The 21,653-nt window shown below is 48.3% G+C and overlaps 1 protein-coding gene and 1 long non-coding RNA gene across 5 annotated transcripts in view, besides 6 other annotated features; one reads left to right on the forward strand and one right to left on the reverse strand.

Moving 5' to 3' along the window:
• The window catches only part of SDK1-AS1 (SDK1 antisense RNA 1), a 108,539-nt gene that overhangs the window by 37,029 nt on the left and 49,857 nt on the right, over positions 1-21,653 (reverse strand). Inside the window, exon 2 of one of the 4 annotated variants that reach the window (XR_926997.4) lies at positions 3,018-3,247. The exons of the other annotated variants lie outside the window; for them this stretch is intronic. This is a non-coding gene — a long non-coding RNA (SDK1 antisense RNA 1). The remainder of the gene's footprint in view (positions 1-3,017; positions 3,248-21,653) is intronic. 4 annotated transcript variants of the gene reach the window in all.
• Positions 333-870: an enhancer, noted in NCBI's record as "OCT4-NANOG hESC enhancer chr7:3320540-3321077 (GRCh37/hg19 assembly coordinates)". NCBI's record gives its function as "activates a minimal SCP1, AML or CMV promoter by ChIP-STARR-seq in primed H9 embryonic stem cells {active_cell/tissue: H9 hESC(primed)}" and the evidence as "EXISTENCE:reporter gene assay evidence [ECO:0000049][PMID:30033119]".
• Positions 19,244-19,756: an enhancer, noted in NCBI's record as "H3K4me1 hESC enhancer chr7:3339451-3339963 (GRCh37/hg19 assembly coordinates)". NCBI's record gives its function as "activates a minimal SCP1, AML or CMV promoter by ChIP-STARR-seq in primed H9 embryonic stem cells {active_cell/tissue: H9 hESC(primed)}" and the evidence as "EXISTENCE:reporter gene assay evidence [ECO:0000049][PMID:30033119]".
• Positions 19,757-20,268: an enhancer, noted in NCBI's record as "H3K4me1 hESC enhancer chr7:3339964-3340475 (GRCh37/hg19 assembly coordinates)". NCBI's record gives its function as "activates a minimal SCP1, AML or CMV promoter by ChIP-STARR-seq in primed H9 embryonic stem cells {active_cell/tissue: H9 hESC(primed)}" and the evidence as "EXISTENCE:reporter gene assay evidence [ECO:0000049][PMID:30033119]".
• Positions 19,757-20,703: a biological region, named in NCBI's record as "H3K4me1 hESC enhancer GRCh37_chr7:3339964-3340475".
• Positions 20,154-20,703: a silencer, noted in NCBI's record as "silent region_17893". NCBI's record gives its function as "represses an Ori minimal core promoter by ATAC-STARR-seq in GM12878 lymphoblastoid cells {active_cell/tissue: GM12878}" and the evidence as "EXISTENCE:reporter gene assay evidence [ECO:0000049][PMID:35858748]".
• Positions 20,677-21,653, forward strand: part of SDK1 (sidekick cell adhesion molecule 1) — a 967,749-nt gene continuing 966,772 nt past the window's right edge. The window contains exon 1 of the mRNA NM_152744.4: positions 20,677-21,309. Within this exon, the coding sequence (NP_689957.3) occupies positions 21,012-21,309 (298 nt within the window). The 5' untranslated portion in view covers positions 20,677-21,011. The remainder of the gene's footprint in view (positions 21,310-21,653) is intronic.
• Positions 20,978-21,478: an enhancer, noted in NCBI's record as "H3K27ac hESC enhancer chr7:3341185-3341685 (GRCh37/hg19 assembly coordinates)". NCBI's record gives its function as "activates a minimal SCP1, AML or CMV promoter by ChIP-STARR-seq in naive H9 embryonic stem cells {active_cell/tissue: H9 hESC(naive)}" and the evidence as "EXISTENCE:reporter gene assay evidence [ECO:0000049][PMID:30033119]".

The following is a 21,653-nucleotide window of genomic DNA, read 5'->3' on the forward strand; positions in this document are numbered from 1 at the left end:
GTTATGGAGGCTCCTGGCATTGGGATCTGCAGCCTGGCTTTGTTTAGTTTATCTGCTCTCTGGTTACCTAATGTCTCATTGAATAGGTCAGCTTCTGTCTCTTCCAATTATTTTCTTAAGAAGGCAACAAGGCTTTCCTTTTGGCCTCTCTAACAGATGCTTCATCAATCTTGATCACATACTTAACCCACATTCGCTGGCTTTCTCCCATGTTATTATAAGTTTAGAAAATCCACAGTAATAAATGGCAGATCTTTTTAAACTCTTGTAATATATCCTCTCTTAGCTGAGATGTGACTTCAGAAGGATCGTTTGTATCCTAATTCATTGTTTCCCTGTGTATATTCCAAGCCGTAAGTTCTCTGAGGACAGGGATTTATTCTTGTCTGATTCTCTGACCCTTAAACTGTGTCTGATGCATCGTAGAAATTCAATAAATGTTTGTGTAATGAAAGAAATGTCCCTATTGCTACAACCATAACCCCTTGTTAATTGGGCCATCATTCAGAAGGAACAAGCCATTTCCCCGGAGACATAAGACGGTTAACAATTCACAAAGACTTCTCTGGCCTCTTCAGCCTTCAATGCCATTGTTATGCAAAAAGTATTTGCAGGGGATATTTTTGGGCAGGCTACATTTACTCAGCGACTACCCATCAAGCGATTTTGCTTTCATTTCACAAATACTTTGGGGAGCCAGGGAGCCGAGCACTGTGCTGACCTCCAAGGATAAAAGATGAAGGGCGGAGGATCATTTGAGGCCAGGAGTGTAAGACCAGCCTGGGCAACATAGTGAGACTCTGTCTCTACAAAAAATTGAAAAATTAGCCAGGCATGGTGGTGTGCGCCTGTGGCCCCAGCTACTGAATTGGCTGAGGTGGGAGGATTGCCTGAGCCTAGGAGGTTGAGGCTGCAGTGAGCTATGATCTCACCACTGCACTCCAGCCTGGGCAACAGAGCAAGACCCTGTCTCCCAAAAAAATTAAGACGAAGGGCCACTTGTTGCTCTTAAGGTATACCCAGCATCTTAGGGGAGGAAGATCCCAACACACAAATGAGAGTCAGGCAACGCAGAGAAAGATAAATGCCATGAGAAGAAAGGCGAAAACATTACCTAGATAGAGTCCCACTTCTGAAACGATCTCAAAAGCTCTCAGGAAAAGAAATTCGCAAAATAAAAGAACAATGATATTTGTAGAGCTTATTATGATCCAATAGCCTTTGACAAGGCAGAGATTGTCATCACCTGTAAAGCACAAAATGTACTCCTCATTCCGTAGAGGATTCCGAGGCTCATGGAGGGAAAGGGACCTGGCCTGGATCTCACAGCTGAGAAGGCGCTAAGCTGGGACCCCGCCCCACCAACCTCACTTCCCCACTGGGTGGTTCTGTCTGGGGGGATTTGGTGTGAGGCACTGGTTTTCAGTATTGGTTGAACAGTAGACTCTCAAACCATCCCTAAATTCTGACTCAGTTGGCCTGGGGTCCTGCTGTTTCTAAAGCACCCTGAAAAACAGTAATGAAAATTACTGTGCATTAGTGATGTCTTTTCATTCTGTATTTAATTAATTATTAATTAATTAAGAGACAGGGTGTCGTTCTGTTGCCCAGGCTGGAGTGCAGTGGCACGATCACAGCTCACTGCAGCCTCAACCTCATGGGCATAAGTGATCCTCCTGTCTCAGCCTCATGAGAAGCTGGGACTTAGAGACTTAAGCCATTGTATTCTACCTGGTCCTCAAATCTATTTTAAAGCCTTTAGTTAGGATATTATGCAGTGAGCATTATGGGCTTATTCAATGAATCTAAAAATGACTTAGAGACAGGGAATAATAAAGAGGCCACTCTGGCAGGAACAGTTTCATCTGTGGGGACCCTGGTGTGGAGCACTGCAAGTGATCTTGTGATGTTTTTGCAAATGCTCTGGAAGAAAATGTGCCCAGTGAAGTCACTGACGCAGCACATGACCTTGGACCTTCCCGGGTGGTAGGATGTGAGGCCAGTGGAGACCAACATTAGGAGGTGTTCCGGGCTGAGCGTGTGAGCAGGGAAGTGGCGAATAAGCTTCTCTGAGGCAAACCCTGGAAATGCAGCCAGGGAAAAATAACTTGGAGATGTCAGCTGCAACCCAAGGAAGGAGCGAGAAGGCCCTGTGCAGTCCTGCTGGAACATGTCAGCTGAGATGAGATCAGAATGCTGGACCTTAGCAGGCAGGGCATCAGGTCATTGGAGGACAGAGTTCATTATTCCATTGCTTTCGAAATGCCTCATCTTCCATCATTTCCTCCCCAAACCCTGCACCCCAGTACTGGTGGCTCCTCTTAACTTTTTGTTTTTTTAGATGGAATCTTGCTCTGTGGCCTAGGCTGGAGTGCAGTGGCATGATCTCAGCTCACTGCAGCCTCTGCCTCCTGGGTTCAAGCGATTCTCCTGTCTAAGCCTCCCGAGCAGCTGGGATCACAGTCACCCGCCACCATGCCTGGCTAATTTTTGTATTTTTAGTAGATGAGGTTTCACCATGTTGGCCAGGCTGGTCTTGAACTCCTGAGCTCTAGTGATCCTCCTGCCTCAGCCTCACGAAAGTGCTGGGATTACAGGTGTGACCCACTGCTCCTGGCCATCCTCTTAACTTGTGTAACTGTGCTTCTGAATATCGTCTTTCCCTCCACAGCAAGTACCTCTATCTTGCAAATTTCCAGCACCCTTTAAATCCCAACTTAAAGGCCTCCATTGAGCTGGAATTTAAAGGGTGGAATTTAAAGGTAGAATTTGCAAGATAGCAAGTAGCACTACCTTGCAAATTCCCAGCACCCTTTACATCCCAACTCAAAGGCCCCCTTCTCTAGGAGACCTCACACAACCATGCACCGGGCCATGACTGCTCAGAATGAATCACCCCAACTCTGCTCAGACCTGTGGAAAGTGCATTAAAATGATCTGTTCAATGTTTGCGTCATGCACAGTGAGCTACTCATAAGCAAGGGGTGCATCCTACACAGTCAGTACTCAATACTTACTTATGGGATGCACCAATGGAGAGAAGATAAACTGTGTTTCAAGACAGACACACAGAGCTGGGAAAGGTCCCAAGTCAGCCACGATGACCTTGGGGAGGGAGGAGCCACCACAGAGATGCATGTCTCTTCAGGATGGAAGAAAGACGGCTAAGATAGGTGCAAGAGACGCATCCAAATCCTCGAAAGGTATGGAGAAGGTGAATAAGGCCAGCTCACCACATCACAGAGTCCTGGAAAAAGGAGGCAACTTTTGATGTTTGAAAAACACTTTAGGCTGGGCCCAGTGGCGCATGCCTGTAATCCCAGCACTTCCAGAGGCCCAAGCGGGAGGATTGTTTCAGTCCAGGAGTTCAAGACCAGCCTGGGCAACATAGTGGGACCTTGTCTCTACGAAAAATTTAAAAATTAGTTGGGTACGGTGGTGTATGCCTGTGGTCCCAGCTACTTGGGAAACTGAGGTGGGAGGATCACTCAAGCCCAAGAGGTCAAGGCTGCAGTGAGCTATGATTATGCCACTGAACTCCAGCCTCGGCAACAGAGTGAGATCCTGTCTCAAGATATAATAAAAGAAAAGAAAAGCTTAAAATTTGTTTTTTCAAATGAATGAAAGTGGCCATGAATCATTGTGGGTACAAAGTATGCTTTAAAAAAATCAGCTTTGTTTTTGTAAATTACATACAATTAAATGCAACTATTGTGGTCATGTAGTTCCATACATTTTGACAAATGTATACACCCACGACAACCATGTAACCATCACTGCTATCAAGACAGGGACTATGTCTATCACCTCTTGTACCCCTTTAAAGTCATTCAGCTGCATCCCCCACCTTGGGCAACCACTGATCTGCTCTCTCTCACTCTAGATTAGCTTGTTCTACAGCCTCCTGTGTGCATTTTTGAGGCTATATTAATTCCTTCATCATTGTGTTTTTGAGATTCATCCCTTTGGTGTGTATCAGGAGTTGGATCTTTTCCATTGCTGCATATTATTCCATATGGGCCTTGTTACAGTTTATCCATTTACCTGTTCAAGGTATTTCCGTTGTTTCTAGCTTGAGTCTATTAGGTATAAAACTGCTGTGAACATTGTGTACACGTCTTGTTGTGGATGAGACACAGTGTTAATTAAAAAAAAAAATGAAAGAATCTCAGAGCTGGGCCCGGGTGCGGTGGCTCACACCTGTAATCCTAGCACTTGGGGAGGCTGAGGTGGGTTGATTACCTGAGCTCAGGAGTTTGAGATCAGCCTGGGCAACATGGTGAGACCTCCGTCTCTACTAAAAATACAAAAAATTACCCAGGGGCATGGTAACACATGCCTGCAATCCCAGCTACTCAGGAGGCTGAGGCAGGAAAATCACTTGAACCTGGGAGGCAGAGGTTGCAGTAAGCTGGGATCATGCCACTGCACTCCCGCCTGGGTGAGAGAGCCAGCCTCTGCCTCCATTAAAAAAAAGAATCTCAGAGACTCAGAGCTGGAAGGGAGAGTTAAGCAGGACGTTAACTTGCTAAATCCAACCCTCTTCCTGCTGCCTTCCCTCCTCTATCACACCCCTAAAAACTGGCTATTTGGTCTCCATTTGCCCCACTGACAGGGAACTCACTACCTCCTAAAATAGCCTATTCAGTGAATGCTTCCATTGCTAGAAGGTTTTTTTTTTTTTCTTTTTTTTTCTTTTTTGAGGCAGAGTTTTGCTCTTGTTGCTGAGGCTGGAGTGCAGTGGCGCGGTCTTGGCTCACAACAATCTCCGCCTGCCAGGTTCAAGTGATTCTCCTGCTTCAGCCTCCTGAGTAGCTGAGATAACAGGCACCTGCCACCAAGCCTGGCTAATTTTTTGGATTTTTAGTAGAGACAGGTTTTCACCATGTTGGCCAGGCTAGTCTCGAACTCCTGACCTCAGGTGATCCCCCTGCCTCACTGAATTGCAAATGGCCAGTAGACAGGGTTCGCCCTCAGTGGTGCTACAGTGAAATCTAACTTATCTACATAGTCAGATATTTGAAAACAGCCTCAAATTCACCTCCAGTCTTCCCCCATTTAGGCTACATGTCCTTTGTTCTGCCAGCCACTGCAACCAAGACTGACTCTAGCTCGTGGCCGTTCCTTTTGCACTGCACCATGAGGAGCTGAACACATTGCCCCAGCCACAGCCAGGCCGGCTCAGTGCTGGCCAGAAATCCCTGCTTCTGCCCACCATGCAGAAGTGACTCTCGCTGGGGACCACCACCACACATCGCTGACTCCCACAGAGCTCACAGGCAGCACCACAGCAGCCTCCGGGCGTTTCTCACATGCGCTGCTATCAAACCATGGCCCCACACCCTGTGTTTCACACAGTGGGGAGCAGATTTATGGAAATGGAACAGGCTTGCAAATACAGATAGCTTCAAAAATGACTCAGACAACTTCATGGTTGAGAGACCCGTAATGGCTTATTACGGCAAACTGGGATGTTCTGTTGTGTATTTCTTGTTTTTCCGGCTGACATCAAGATAAATAACTGTGTTGGACTGATGGTTTCTGAGGCCCCTTCCAGCTCTAAAATTCTGTGACTCTTTGTCCTCCCACCAAATGTTCTTTGGTGCCAATGTTGGCCCCAGAATGAAGCCAACTGGACCAGGGACGGATTCAATTGTAACGTTCTCTGCAAGGAGAAAGTAGAGGAAAGAGAAAGGAAGGAGAGGGTAGCAAGAGGCAGCATTACTAAAAATTCCAAACACCATTCAGCATGAGTTGGACAAAGTCTGTTCTCCTGCATCTGGGGGAAGACAGTTGCCAGCACCACCCACACATTAAACCATAACTTACTGGAGTTTCCTTACTGTTTATTATAAAGTGAAGTGTATTCATCTTGGGATTTTTAGAAGCAAAAGGATAATTTTAAAGAAAAAGACCACCTTTAATTCTATACAGGAATGACTACCATTAATATCTCAGTGCATTTCAGCCAGATGTGGTGGCTCATGCCTGTAATCCCGGAACTTTGGGAGGCCGAGGTGGGCGGATCAGGAGTTTGAGACCAGCCTGGCAAACATGGTGAAACCCCATCTCTACTAAAAACACACAAAAATTTAGCCAGGCGTTGTGGCTTGTGCTGTAATCCCAGCTACTTAGGAGGCTGAGGCAGAAGAATTGCTTGAACCCGGGAGGCGGAGGTTGCAGTGAGCTAAGATCGTGCCACTGCATTCCAGCCTGGGCGACAGAGTGAGACCAGGTCTCTCTCTCTCTCTCCATGTGTGTGTGTATATATATATGCATTTCCTTCCAATTCTTTTTAAATGTTTATTTATCTTTAGATCAATCTATCCATCTGATATAGTTTGGATCTGTGTCCCCACCGAAATCCCAACTTGAATTGTAAACTCCAGTGTTGCAGGTGTGGCCTGGTGGGAGGTGATTGGATCCTGGGGGTGGGTTTCTCATGAATGGTTTAACACCATCTCTCTTGGTAGTGTCCTCACGATAGTGCGTGACTTCTCGTGAGATCTGGTCATTTAGAAGTGTGTTGCCCCTACCCCCCCTTGCTCCTGATTTCACCATGTGACATGCCTGCTCTCTCTTCACCTTCTGCCATGATTGGAAGCTTCCTGAGGCCTCCCCAGAGGTTGAGCAGATGCCTGTGTTATGCTTCCTTTACAGCCTGAGAACTGTGAGCCAATTCAACCCCTTTTCTTTATAAATTACCCAGTCTCAGGTATTTTATTTATGGCAAGGCAAGAATAGCCTAATACACCATCCAACCCATCAACATATGCCCATGTATTCCAATTTTTGCAAGAGAAAAATGGCATAAATGATTTTCCCAACTAACACTGTCTTCACCATTTTCCCATGCCATTAAAATTTTTTTTTAATTTTTATTTTAAGTTCTGGGGTACATGTGCAGGATGTGCAGGTTTGTTACACAGGTAAACATGTGCCATGGTGGTTTGCTGCAGCTATCAACCTGTCACCTAGGTATTAAGCCCAGCATGCATTAGCTATTTATCCTGATGCTCTCCCTCCCCAGACCCCACTGCTGACAGTCCCCAGTGTGTGTCGTCCCCCTCCCTGTGTCCATGTGTTCTCATTGTTCAGCTCCCACTTACAAAAGAGAACATGTGGTGTTTGGTTTTCTGTTCCTACATTAGTCTGCTGAGGATGATGGCTTCTAGCTCCATCCATGTCCCTGCAAAGGACATGATCTCGTTCCTTTTTGTAGCTGCATAGTATTCCATGATGTATATGTACCACATTTTCGTTATCCAGTCTATCACTGATGGATATTTGGGTTGATTTCATCTTTGCTATTGTGAATAGTGTGGCAAAATATTCTTTCAAAATGTAAACTATTCAATAGCATTCCATGAAGTTGATAAACTGTAATGTGTCTCATTTTTCAGCTCCCACTTATTAATGAGAGCATGTAGTGTTTGGCTTTCTGTTGCTGCATTAGTTTGCTAAGGATAATGGCTTCCAGCTTCATCCATGTCCCTGCAAAGGACATGATCTCATTCCTTTTTATGGCTGCATAATATTCCATGGTGTATATGCATCTTAGACATTCAGGTTGCTTGTAATTTTTTCCTATTACCACAGTGCAGAGACAACCATTCTTGTACATGGATCTTTGTATTTTCAGTTATTTTAAAGATACATTTGCTGAAATATAATTTGGGGCCAAAAAATATGAACTTTCTTAAGACTTTTCATATGTATGTGTCACCCACTTATTCTCCATAATCCCTCTGTGCCTCTGCAGTCATGTGCTTCCTTCCTCTAGTAAGTTTTCAGAATAATGGAGCAGGTCAACTCTCAGTTTTATGCCCTCATTGAACAAAACCCAGAAGAGTGAAAGGTAAAAATGACATGCAAAATACTAAATTTCTCTCCAAGGATTCTAGGCCTCATAAGTGAGGGAAAAAACACAAACAGTCAGAAAGAAAACTGGAGTTAAACTGACATAATTGAAACAACCACATACTAAATATCCTGGTGGAAGCCAGAATGCCAAAGAGCATTGTTATGTCAAGAAAATGTCCCTTAAGCAAGAATGGCAGGTCCAGTACCATTAATGCCTGGCAGCTCTTAGAGACGGTGCCCACATAGCTAAAGGAACCTAGTCCCTTGCTGTGTTAGTTAGTGAGGGCTGCCATAGCAAAACACCATAGACTGGGAGGCGTAAACAACAGACATTTATTTTCTCATAGTTCTAGAAGTTGGAAGTCTAGGCCCAAAGTGTTTGCAGGGTTGGTTTTTCTTTGGCCTCTCTCCTTGGCTTGTAGATGGCGTCTTCTCCCTGTGTTCTCACATGGTCCCTCTGTGCATGTCTCTGTCCTAATTACCTCTTCCTTTTTTGGGGGGCAGTGGGGGGAGAAGGAGTCTTGCTCTGTCGCCAGACTGGAGTGCAGTGGCATGATCTCGGCTCACTGCAACCTCCACCTCCCGGGTTCAAACAATTCTCCTGCCTCAGCCTCCTGAGTAGCTGGGACTACAGGCACATGCCGCCACGCCTGGCCAGTATTTTGTTTGTTTGTTTGTTTTTGTTGTTGTTATTGTTGTATTTTAGTAGAGACGGGGGTTTCACCATGTTGCTCAGGCTGGTCTCGAACTCCTGAGCTCATGCAATCTGCCTGCCTTGGCCTCCCTAAGTGCTAGAATTAGAGGCGTGAGCCACCGCACCCCGCCCTAATTTCCTCTTTTTATAAGGACACCAGTCAGATTGGCTTAGGGTCCACCCTAATGACCTCGTTTGAACTTACCTCTTTTTGTTGAGACAGTGTCTTGCTCTGTTGCCCAGGCTGGAGTGCAGTGGTGTAACCATGGCTCACTGCAGCCTCGACTTCCCAGACTTAACCTCAACCTCCCAAGTAGCTAGGACTACAGGCATGTGCCACCATGCCTGCCTAATTTCTAAATTTTTTTTTTAATAGAGATGGGGTCTTACTGTGTTGCCAGGTCTGATTTCAAACTCCTGAGCTGAAGTGATCCTCCAGCCTTGGCCTCCCAAAGTGCTGGGATCAGAGGTATGAGCCACCATGCCCAGCCTTAACTTACCTCTTCAAAGGCCCTGTCCCTATGTAGTCATTTTCTGAGGCACTGGGGATTAGGGATTCAACATATGAATTTTGGTGAGACATAATTTAGCCCATAATCCTCACCTAGTAGAAGGACTGGTTTATGTGGACAGGGCTTTGTGTTTGTAATCTGGTTTCACCAGCTTCTAATGCAGGACCCCAGGCCCTTGCAAAGTACCCTTCCTTCAAATATTTCTGGGAGTCCTTCAGGGAGTATCAAGCAGATTGTACTTTCCATGATGGCTGCAACACTATCTCATATCTTATTAGCTATTCTGCAGTGTGACCTTGCCTTTACCCACATCAAGACGTAGAGCCTAATATCCATTCCTCTGGAGTCTGGGCTGGCCTTGGTGACTTGCTTGCAACCAACAGAGAGCAGCAGAAATGATGCTCCATGATCTGTAAGGCCAAGTTAGAAAAGGCCGTGCAGCTTCCAGATATTCCCTCTTGGAGTCCAGCTGCCATGTTGTGGGGAAGCCCAAGCCACAAGAAGCCACAAAAATGCACTCTGGCTCATAGCCCACACTGAGCCCAGCTAGCAAGTGATCCCAGCTCAGGCATCCCAGCTGAGGGAAATCCCCAGCCACTTCCCAGCTGTGCCCTGAATGGATTCCTGAGCCCCACAACCTGTGAGCATAGCAAAATGACTGTTTTTTTTTTTTTTTTTTTTTTTTTTTTTTATCATTTTTGGATGATGCAGCTAAAGCCTAAAGAGGTACTGCTGCTCGCTTAAAGTTATTTTGCTGATTAATGGAGCTGGATTAAAATCCAGACCTCATAAATTTTCAATCAGAGCTCCTTCCACCATTTATTCTTTCAACAAATGTTTACTGTTACTAGGGCTCCACGTGCTGTTTTGGGCACTGGGGAGGTGGCAGTGACTCCTGAATCTAGCTCCAGAGGACAGAATGAGGACTGATGGGTGATCCCTGTGGAGAGGCTGGTTACAATTCGGTGTAGACAAGACCTCTGGAGCAAGGAGAACTTTCTGCAAATGGAATGACCTTGAGGGGTGACACAGAGGAGCTGGATGTCTGGGACAGATGATTGGATTTAATAAGCATTGAGATCAGCCCCAACTCTCCCTTCCAACTTGGGGAGTCTATTACTTGCAAACTTTGTTTCTAAAAGGATTTAAAGCAACTTTATTTTATTTGACTCACAACTACCTCTTTTCTTTTCTTTTTCTTTTTTTTTTTTTTTTTGAGAGATGAAGTCTTGCTCTGTTGCCCAGGCTGAAGTGCCAGTGGCACAATCTTGGCTCACTCCACCTCCTAGGTTCCAGTGATTCTCCTGCCTCAACCTCCCAGGTAGCTGGGATTACAGGCACACGTCACCATGCCCAACTCATTTTTGTATTTTCAGTAGAGACTGGGTTTCACCATACCGGCCAGGCTGGTCTCGAGCTCCTGACCTCAGCTAATCCATCCACCTCGGCCTCCCAAAGTGCTAGGATTACAGGCATAAGTCACCAAGCCCAGCCAAAACTACCTCTTTTAACCAAGGTGCTCTTTAAGAAAGAGTTCTTCAGTCAGTGTGGTGGCGGGCACCTATAGTCCCAGCTACTCAGGAGGCTGAAGTGAGAGGATCACTTGAGCCCAGGAGTTCGAGGCTGCAGTGAGCTATGAATGCATCACTGCACTCCAGCCTGGGTGACAGAGCGAGATCCTGTCTCAAAAAAACAAAAAGAAAAATAAACCCAAAACCAACCAAATAAAAAATATTAAAAAAAAGAAAACCCTTCTACTAAATTTTATGATGTCGTCTGTACAATATTTGTCTTGCCTACCCCCAAAGTAGAAGACAGCATCAGGAGACATAGGTTCAAATCCCAGCTCCACCTCTCACTAGCTCGGTGGCCCTGGACAAATGATTTAATATCTGAGCCTCAGTAAAGTGGAAAAACACACTTCCCATCACACAGGGATTGTTGTGAGGATTAAAATACTTATGTAAAAATCAGGTGGAGAGATGTCTGTTGAATCTGTTGCTAAAGCCTCTCCTTTTCACCAAGTAAATATCTCAAACTTTCTACATCTGTTCTGCCCTCAAAGGCTCCCAATTCCCTCCTTACCTCACATTGAACAGGTGACCTAGCTATTTTAGAGAGAGAGCGAAGAAAACATCAGGTGCATCTCCCTAAATTTCCCCTGATAATTCTTCTAACTAAGCTATGACCTCTCCCTGGTTCTTTCTGCAGTGGACTAGATAGTCCTCCTCCACGTAAGACTAACCCTCCACTTCACAGAACGTTCCAGAGATTTGAGGCTGCTGAGCTGTTGGTGACCAACCCATTCTCCTGGGTCCCCCTTTCTACAGAACACAAGCCCATATCTTTCCTGCCATCTTCTGTCTAACCTTTGCATTAAACCTCTTGAAAATGTCATGTCCGGGCCCGGTGCAGTGGTTCACGCCTGTAATCCCAGCACTTTGGGAGGCCGAGGTGGGTGGATCACGAGGTCAGGAGATGGCGACCATCCTGGCCAACATGGTGAAACCCCATCTCTACTAAAAATACAAAAAATTAGCCAGGCGTGGTGGCACACACCTGTGTAGTCCCAGCAACTTGGGAGGCTGAGGCAGAAGAATCGCTTGAACCTGGGAGGCAGAGGTTGCAGTGAGCTGAGATCACACTACTGCACTCCAGCCTGGGCGATAGAGCAAGACACCATTTCAAAAAAAAAAAAAGAAAATGTCACGTCCACCTCCAGCTCATGTCTCTACCACCTGGGACTGGCTCAGGCACCCATCAACACTGTGCTCACGGGGTCTTTGAAGGAGCTCTCTTGCTCAGCCTACAAGTCACTTTTCAGTCCTTCACTCCTTGTCTGTGTTGCCCTTTTTTTTTTTTTTTTGAGACAGGGTCTCACTCTGTTGCCCAGGCTGGAGTGCAGTGGCGCGATGTCAGTTCGCTGCAACCTCCACCTCCTGGGTTCAAGCAACTCTCATGCCTCAGCCCCCTCCGAGTAGCTGGAATTATAGGCATGCGCCCACCAAGCCCGGCTAATTTTTTGTATTTTTATTACAGACAGGGTTTCGCCATGTTGGCCAGGCTGGTCCTGAACTCCTGACCTCAAGTGATCCACCCATCTTGGCCTCCCAAAGTGCAGGAATTAGACGTGAGCCACTGCGCCCGGCCCAGTGTTGCCTTTGAAGTCATCTTCCTCTGCTCCTTCCTTCTCTGCATTATACCCAACATCCACATGTCTAATGATCGTATCTGCCTGAGGATGTCCTGCTGACACATCACATTTAACAGATTAAAATCAAACGTGGCACTGTCCTCCTTATCCCTCCAAACCTTCCCCTCCACCTGTGTTCTCTCCCTTCAGAAACAAAATCGCCATTTTTCCAGTTTCCTAAGCCAGAAAACAGAACGTTATCTGCAAACCTCTCTTTCTTAGCTGTGGATTCTCTCTCCAAGATAGCTTTTTTGTTATTGTTGTTGTTGTTGAGAGAGAGTCTTGCTCTGTGGCCCAGGCTGGAGTGCAGTGGCATGATCTTGGCTCACTGCAACCTCCGTCTCCTAGGTTCAAGCGATTCTCCTGCCTCAGCCTCCCAAGTAGCTGGGATTACAGTGTGGGCCACCATGCCCAGCTAATTTTTTTGTATTTTTAGTAGAGACGGGGGGGTGTTTCACCATGCAGGCCAGGCTGGTTTTGAACTTCTGACCTCAAATGATCCGCCTGCCTCAGCCTCCCAAAGTGCTAGGATTACAGGCGTAAACCACCGCGCTTGGCCATAGATAGCTTTTTAATCTGCCACTTCTCTCTCGTCCCAACTGCCACCATTACTTCATATTTGAATTGCTGCAACGGTCTCCTAGCAGATTTCCTGGCTCCCAGGCTTGCCCAATCCCAACCTAGCCCACAACCTGAATTACTTTTCTTTGTCTTTTTCTTTTTTCCAAGATGGAGTCTCACTCTGTTTCCCAGGCGGGAGTGTAGTGGCTTAATGTCAGCTCGCTGCAACCTCCGCCTCCCTGGTTCAAGCGATTCTCCTGCCCCAGCCTCTGGAGTAGCTGAGATTAACAGGTGCGTGCCACCATGCCAGGCTAATTTTTGTAATTTTAGAGGAGACGGGGTTTCACTGTGTTAGCCAGGCTGGTCTTTGAATGACTTTTCTAAAAGTCTTTGATTCTGTGGTTTTTCAAATCCCCATGCCTCTCCATTGTTCTCATGCTCAAGTTCAAACTCTGGGCTTCAAACTTTTGGCAGGTGCTGTTCCTTCTGCCTGGAACACACTTTCTTCTCCTGACTGTTGAGGGATGAACTCTTAACTCGTTCTTCAGGTCTTAGTTTAGACACTACTTCCCCTGGAATAGTTTCCCTGATTCCTCAAGGCTGTTAGATCCCTGCTCTGATATTCCCTTAGGTGATTTCACTTATCATATGAATGCAATTACTCTAATTGTTTATTTCACTCTTGCCTAGTGCTGGGGCAGGCATCAATCAGTTATCTGACAAACACTTGCTGAAAAGTAGGCATGGAAGGAATTGCTTTCGACTATGGGTATCAAGCTTGAGTGTATATCAGAAGCACCTGGGCCGTGCATGGTGGCCAACACCTGTAATCCCAGCACTTTGGAAGGCCGACGCTTGTGGATCATAAGGTCAGGAGATTGAGACCATCCTGACCAACATGGTGAAACCCTGTCTCTACTAAAAATAGAAAAAATTAGCTGGGCATGGTGATGCATGCCTGTTGTCCCAGCTACTCGGGAGGCTGAGGCAGGAGAATCGCTTGAACCTGGGGAGGTGGAGGTTGCAGTGAGCTGAGATGGCACCACTGCACTCTAGCCTAGGGACAGAGCAAGACTCCGTCTCAAAAAAAAAACAAACAAAAAAAAAAACAAAAAAAAAAAAAAAAAAAGAAGAAGAAAAGAAACACCTGGTGGGCTGGTTAAACCATAGCTTGCTGGGTTCCACCCCCCAGAGTTTCTGATTCAGTAGTGTGGGGCGATGTCCAGGTGATACTGATAACAGCTGGTCAGGAAACTCTGCTTCTTGCAATTTAAGGCACCCCGAGAGCTGAGGGACAGTTACTATTAAAGGCAGCTGGTAGGCATTTTTGGAAGCTTGGTACATTTCTGGTACCGCTCTTCTTCATAGCTTCCTTAATAAGAGCATTTAATCGGATTATAGCTTTTGAAGATATCTCAGGAAACTAGGTAACCAAAGCACGCGCCCCATTAGGGCTCAAAGCTGCACCTGGAACTGCGCCCTGCTTGTTAATGGGTTGCCAGGCAACAGAACAAAGGTGAGGCTGAGGCGGGATCAGCAGTTGGCAGGGATCTGAGAGTGAACCACTGAGGCAACTAGAGGCTGGAGTTCTCATCAGGACAGGACCTTAGGGACCAGCCATTAGGGACCCCCAGGATGTGGACTGGGAGCCTTGCATTGCACACGGGAGAGCATCACATCCCCAGGTGGACAAGTGCATGTTGTAAGTTGGCCTCTGATAGGATTGGGGATTATTTTTCTCAGAAGTAGAACCATGGGAACCCATGGGGGAGATTTCCTAACGACTTATGGGTAAGAAAAAACTTCTTAGGCTCACCACCTTCCGCTTCTTAAAAGCAAGCTTTATTAGTGTTTTGGTTTTTTTTTGTAAATTATGACATACACATTCACATTTGGAAATATAAAAAGTACAGGAAAGATCCCGCCACTGCACTCCAGCCTGGGCGACAGAGCGAGACTCCGTCTCAAAAAAAAAAAAAAAAAAAAAAAAAAAAAAAAAAAAAAAAGTACCGGAAAGCACATAATTCCATGTCCCCTGAAGGAAATTATATACATTAGGCATTCATCCTTTCAAAAACAAAACAAAAAAAAAGACATAAATGAGATTATATATTTGCTCCATAACTTTTAAAACACAGAACTGTATATAGCAGACATTTCTACATCAGCACTTTTAACAGTCATCCAGAAATGTATTGTGTGGATATGCCATATTGCACTTTTTTTTTTTTTTTTGCTACTAGTGATGCTGCACTGGACAACCTTATCCATATGTCTTTTTGCATGTGTGAGGTATAATAGATCAAAGACAATTCATATTTAAAGTTTAACTACCGGCTGGGCACAGTGGCTCATGCCTGTAATCCCAGCACTTTGGGAGGCCAAGGTGTGTAGATCACCTGAGGTTGGGAGTTCGTGACCAGCCTGGCCAACATGGTGAAACCCATCTCTACTAAAAATACAAAAATTAGCCAGGCATGGTGGCGCGCCTCTGTAATCTGAGCTACTCGGGAGGCTGAGGCAGGAGAATCGCTTGAGCCTGGGAGGCAGAAGTTGGGGTGAGCCGAGATCACACCACTGCACTCCAGCCTGGGTGACAGAGCGAGCTCTGTCTCAAAAAACAAACAAATAAATTTTAACTATGGATTGCAGGTTTCTCTCCACGGCAGCTGTTTAGTTTGTACTTACACTAAGAATAAATGAATGCTCATTTCCTCATAGTCTTACCACACATTTGCCATTATCAGTCAGTCCTTAAACATTTTTTACAAGCCTCGTTGCTTTAATTTTTCACTGTTAAGATCAATTTCTGGCTGGGCGCGGTGGCTCACGCCTGTAATCCCAGCACTTTGGGAGGCTGAGGCAGGTGGATCACTTAAGGTCAGGATTCAAGACCAGCCTGGCCAACATGGCAAAACCCCGTCTCTGCTAAAAATACAAAAATTAGCCGGGCATGGTGGCATGAGCCTGTAATCCCAGCTACTTAGGAGGCTGAGGCAGGTGAATCGCTTGAACCTGGGAGGCAGAGGAGGTTGCAGTGAGCCGAGATCACACCACTGCCCTCCAGCCTGGGTGACAGGTGAGACTCTGTCTCAGAAAAAAAAAAAATCAATTTCTTGGTGCATCTCTTCATTTATTTTCTCTTTATATCTCTCTGCCTGTTACTATTCTTTGGTCTTTTGTTTTTTGAGATGGAGTCTCGCTCTGTGGCCTGGCTGGAGTGCAGTGGCACAATCATGGCTCACTGCAACCTCCCAGGCTCCAGTGATCTTCCCACCTTAGCCTCGAGGGTACCTGGGACTACACACACATGATAATTTATTTATTTATATATTTTTTTGAGAGATGAGGGTCTCACTATGTTGCCCAGACTGGTCTCAAACTCCTAGGCTCAAGTGATCCTCCCTCCTTGGCCTCCCAAAGTGCTGGGACTACAGGCCTGAGCCATCACACCCAGCCTCTGCTCATTTTTCTATAGGGCTTGTTCATCTATTTTTCTTATTGACTCATAAAAGCTGTAAGTCTTATTGACTAACATAGATAGTAACATTTTCTCCAGTTTGTTAGTTTTTTTTCACAGTGCCATACAGATGCTTTTGGTTTTGAATTGGTATACAGTTCAAGCTACTGATGTTCTAGAAAGTTGCAAATTGTCCTTTTAAAATAAAAATATTTCTATCATTTAAAAAAGGTTCTCTTTTATGTGATGGCCCATAAGAAAAAGGAGGAGAAAGGACAGAATGAAGCAAAAGAGGAATGAGGGCTCTATTATATTCCTCAGACTCAACGGGATTGATGAGTGATTTTCGAACTTTCATTTACACAGGAATCACTTGGAGATCTTTGAAAATGCAGAGTATGAGTCAGCAGGTCCGGGACTGGGCTTGAGATTTTGCATGTCTAACAAGCTCCCAGGTGAGGTAGATGGCCCACGGGCCATACCTGGAGCAGCAGGCTTTAAATCACAACAAGGGAAAGCACTGCTGGTTTCATGGATCATCCTAACGACGTGAAAATTATCATCTGTTTTGAAAACTCTTCCTTCTCTCTTTTTAATTAAGCAGGGAAAATTCTAACTTCTTATTCTGGAAAGTAGGAGATGGCCAGGGCTCATTGGGGGAAGGAGAAGAAGAAGGAGAAGGAGAGGAACAGGAAGAGGAAGAGGAAGAAGACAAATAAGTGGAAGAGGAGGAGGAAGAGGAAGAAGAAGAGGAAGAGGAAGAAGATGAATAAGTGGAAGAAGAGGAGGAGGAAGAGGAAGAGGAAGAAGAAGAGGAAGAGGAAGAAGACGAATAAGTGGAAGAAGAGGAGGAGGAGGAAGAGGAAGAAGGAGGAGGAGGAGAAGAAGAAGAAGGGGAAATAATAATAATCAGTTTTCATGGAGTAACATCCCTCCACCTCATGGCCTTTAGCGTATATGGTTACAATTTTTAATGGCAAGTATGCAGGTATAAAATGCTCACTTCTTGAGGCCCTCTTGTAGGGCTGGGCAAAATGAAGTTGAGAGATTCACTGGCCTTAAGGGCAGAAATATTCCAGCCCCCTCCTGGCTGTCTCCCCTCCCCAGCATTATAAAGGGGTTTCTCTGTATTATTGTTTGAGAAAGAATAGCTGTAGTCTAAACACAGGCCCCAAAATGGTAACCTAATAGGTCCTGTGAAAAGCAACATGGTCGGGGCGAGGAAAAACAAGTCTCAGAACAGGACTCAGGAGAGCTGGATGCTTGTTCTGGCTTTAGCACGGTTGCTTCGCATGTATTAAACTTTCTAGGCTTGGCTTCTCCAACTGTAGAATGGAGATTAGAGTAGAACCTTATTTCTCAAGGCTGATATTGGGATAGGAAGAAAAAAAAATTTCTTGGAGAGGTTTCCAGACCTTCTGTAGTAACAGTGAGGTCACTGATCTGTCTTTTTTTTTTTTTTTTTTTTTTTTTTTTTTGAGACAGAGACTCACTGGGTCACCCAGGCTGGAGTGCAGTGGCACGATCTCGGCTCACTGCAACCTCTACCTCCTGGATTCAAGCGATTCTCCTGCCTCAGCCTCCTTAGTAGCTGGGATTACAGGCGCCCGTCACCACGCCCAGCTAATTAATTATTTATTTATTTATTTATTTATTTTTTAACTATAGATGGGGTTTCATCATGTTGGCCAGGCTGGTCTCATACTCCTGACCTCAAGTGATCCACCCACCTTGGCCTCCCAAAGTGCTGGGATTAAAGGCGTGAGCCACTGCACTTGGCCTGGTCACTGATCTCTTATAACCTGGTGTATACTAACTTGGCTTTCCAATTTCCAAGCAAGTTTCCACAAAGCTTTCTGCTACCTGCAAAATAAGTCATGGCAAAAGAGGCTCTGGGTAATTTTGACGTGTCCTAAAGTCAAGAAGTTGCTTGAGTTATGTTCGTGCCTATGTGGACTGGAGCGGTATATGGGCACAGGTTTCTACGTGAAAGTGGTGGATATAGATCGATACTGGAGAGGAAAAGGTTAAATGTGCAGCAAACTCAAATGGCGGGGAGAGCAAGGGTAGTTTGGGACAAGGATTGCCACGTTAGTAGAGGGAAAGGAAAACCAGCATTTACTGAGTGTGAATTATCTCACTCTGTCTACTACCCTGGAGATGGGAATTATTCCTAACTTTTTACAGGAACTTGGAGTCAGCGATTTGCCCAAATTTCACAACTACAAAGGGCGGAGCTGAGTGAGACCTCAAAGCCCCATGACTCCACTCTTGGATCACCAGCCTCTATCTCCCAGCAAAGCAGAGGTGGTTGGGGTGAAGAGGAAGGGAGGTGAGCTCCCGACCTTGGGCAAAACACTTCACTTCCTTTATTTATTTATTTATTTATTTATTTATTTATTTATTTATTTATTTATTGAGACAGAGTCTCACTCAGTCGCCCAGGCTGGAGTGCAGTAGCAAGGTATCGGCTCACTGCAACCTCCACCTCCCAGGTTCAAGCAATTCTCCTGCCTCAGCCTCCCGAGTAGCTTGGACTACAAGCGCACGCCACTACGCCTGGCTAATCATCTTCTTCTTCTGTCTTTCTTCTTCATTTTCTTCTTTCTTTTTTCTTTTCTTTTTTTTTTTTTTAACTGCAGACGAGGTTTCACCATGTTGGCCAGGCTGGTCTTGAACTGACCTCAAGTGATCCGCCCGCCTCGGCCTCCCAAAGTGCTGGGATTACAGGTGTGAGCTACCGCGCCCGGCCCACTTCTTTATGCCTCAGTTTCTCCATCTGTACCAGGGCCAGCACCTCTCACACAGCAGGTAGTGAAGCTGCTGCTGCTGCTGCCCTGGGCTGGCCTACAGTGAGTGCTCACTGCACAGGAGGTATTGCTTCCCCCCGCCCAGCAGGTTCTCATTATAATCTTGCAAGTTTGAAGAAACCCAGCCTTGCTACCAACAGAAGATAAAAACAGACATGCCTCTCTGCCTCCAGTCTCATCCCCATGTCCTTGGGGAGCTGTCCTCTTCCGGCTCGTCCCATCTATGCGCCCTCACTATATCCTCAGAACAGGGCACTCCGTGGCTCCTTTAACTTTTTTGCCCCTCCTAGCATGGTGTGGAAAGGGGGCAGATGGGAGGCCTCTTTCTGAAACCACCTCCTGTTCGGCGGCTGTACTTGGACCTCAGTTTCCCTGTTTTGTTCACGTGGTCATTGTTAAGTCTTAGGGGACGTGTACAGAGGCTAATATTGAGCCACCAATCAGTTATTTGACAAATACCATAGGCGCTCTGTGAGCAGGAGCTGGCTCCTATCCCAGACCCCAGCCCTGTGACCTGCTCTCCACTCGCCCGGGGTCTTTCTTGGCTGGGACAATAAACCTACTGCATCAGGTGATTCCTGGGGAGTCAGCCCCGTGCTGGGCTCACACCCAGCCCCTCTGCGTTCATCTCTTACATGATCTCATGCGACCATCATCACACGTCCCCAGGCTCCTCCCGGGCCAACTCCAGAGGCAGTGCGTGTCACCTCCAGCTCTCCTCCCACAAAAATGCTGGCCTTTCAGCCTCCAGTGCGCTTAGTTCACCCCATAAACTCTGCTAATGCTTACCACATGCTGAGCGTCGGCGCCCGTCCCCACCCCCAGCCCCACAGGCTCCCGGGTCCCGCCCTGGGAGACCCTCCCACTGGCCGACCCTGCCCCAAGACTCGCCCACTCCACGGTGGGAAACCTGCAATGTGTCCCTCCCTACCCCGCCCTCCTCCAGCGCCGGCCAAAAGTGACCTTGGACGCTTCTACAATGCCATATCCACTCCTCTGAACAGGAGGCGAGTTTGCACCCAGTGGTGCCTTTGGTTGCTAGAAATTAAAAACCCGATTGCGCGTGTTTGCAATTACGGTAACTTGGCGCGTCACCCCCAAGCACTGAGCTAGCTGGTGGTAGCCGGGCGCCTCTCGGGGCGCGCCCTATTCCGCCCTCGGCCCTGGGCTGCCGCACGATCTGCGCGTCCTGCTGCACCTGAGCCCTTCCCACTCGGGCGCCCGCACCGCTGCGGGGCCGGGCGAGGATGCACCACCCCCGCCCGCGAGCCCGCCACGGGAGCGCGTGCCGAATCGACGCCGCCTGCAGTCCCCACTACGGGTCCCTAGGGGGCGCAGCCGGCGCGGGAAGCCGCCCGAGCCAGGCGCCGCGGCCGGCACAAAATTGCAGGCGGGCGGGCGCCGCGACTTTGAAAACAAGCGAGGGCCTGGGGGGCGGGCCCTGGGAGCGGGCGCCGCCTCCCTCGGCCAATCAACGGCGGGCGGCGGGCGGCGGGCGCGGGCGGCGCGTGCGGCCGGGCTGTGAATGGGGAGCGGCGGCCGCGGCAGCTGAGGGCGAGCGCGACCGCGACGTGCGGGCGGGCGCACTTTCTTCTCAGCGCCGGGCGGGGGCGGCGGCGGCGGCGGCTCCTCCGCGCCCGGCGGACCCCTCGGAGCTAGCGCGGCGGGCTCGGGACTGCGTGAGCGCCGGACGCGAATTTCCCCCGTTGACAACTTCTTCTCGCCCGGCTCGTCCCCGGCCCGCGCCGCGCCCCTCACGCGGGGACCCAGGACGCCGCCCCTCAGCGCTGGGCGGCCGCTCACCTCGGGCCGGGGGGCGCCGCGCCTCCCGCGGAGTGGCCGCGCCCGCTCGGAGCCGTCCCGCCTGTCCTGCCCGCCCGTCCGTCCGGCGCGGCGCTCGGGGTGGCGGCTGCTCGGCATGGCCCGGGGCGCCCGGCCCTCGGCGGCCGGTGGCGGCGGCGGCGGCGCGGAGCCCCCTGAGCGCGCGGGCCCCGGGCGGCCGCGGGGATCCCCGCCCGGCCGCGCCCGCCCCTCGCTGGCGCCGCGCCCCGGCCCGGAGCCCTCGCGACCCCGGGCGGCGCCCGAGACCTCCGGCGGGGACACGGCGGGCGCGGGGCGGTGCGGCGGGCGGCGGGCGGCAAAGTTGGGGCCGGGCCGCCGCGGCTGGTGGGCGCTGCTGGCGCTGCAGCTGCACTTGCTCCGGGCGCTGGCGCAAGGTAGGTGCGCGCGGGGTCGCGGGCCGGGGGCGTCGCCTCGGGGCGCGGAGGCGCGAACTTGAGCAGCGAGAGTGTGTCCGGGGTCCCCCCGCTTCCCGGCCCGGGTCGGGATGCGCCTTGCTGGGGGCTCTAGGGAGCCCAGGGGCTCCTCCACGCCAGACTCGGAGGAGAGGGAAACGGAGCCCCGTAGAGCCTGCACCCCGTCTGCTACTTTGCGTTTTATTTTTTTTATACCGCAGTAGCACAAACAAAAATTTTTAAGTTGAGGACCCATTTCTCAGCTCCTTAAAAGGATGCCCGAGTCCCCTTCCCATTGCATGGATGAAAAAGGGGCTGGTCTGTAC

This window comes from Homo sapiens, chromosome 7 (genome assembly GCF_000001405.40).
Source record: "Homo sapiens chromosome 7, GRCh38.p14 Primary Assembly".
NCBI lineage: Eukaryota > Metazoa > Chordata > Mammalia > Primates > Hominidae > Homo > Homo sapiens.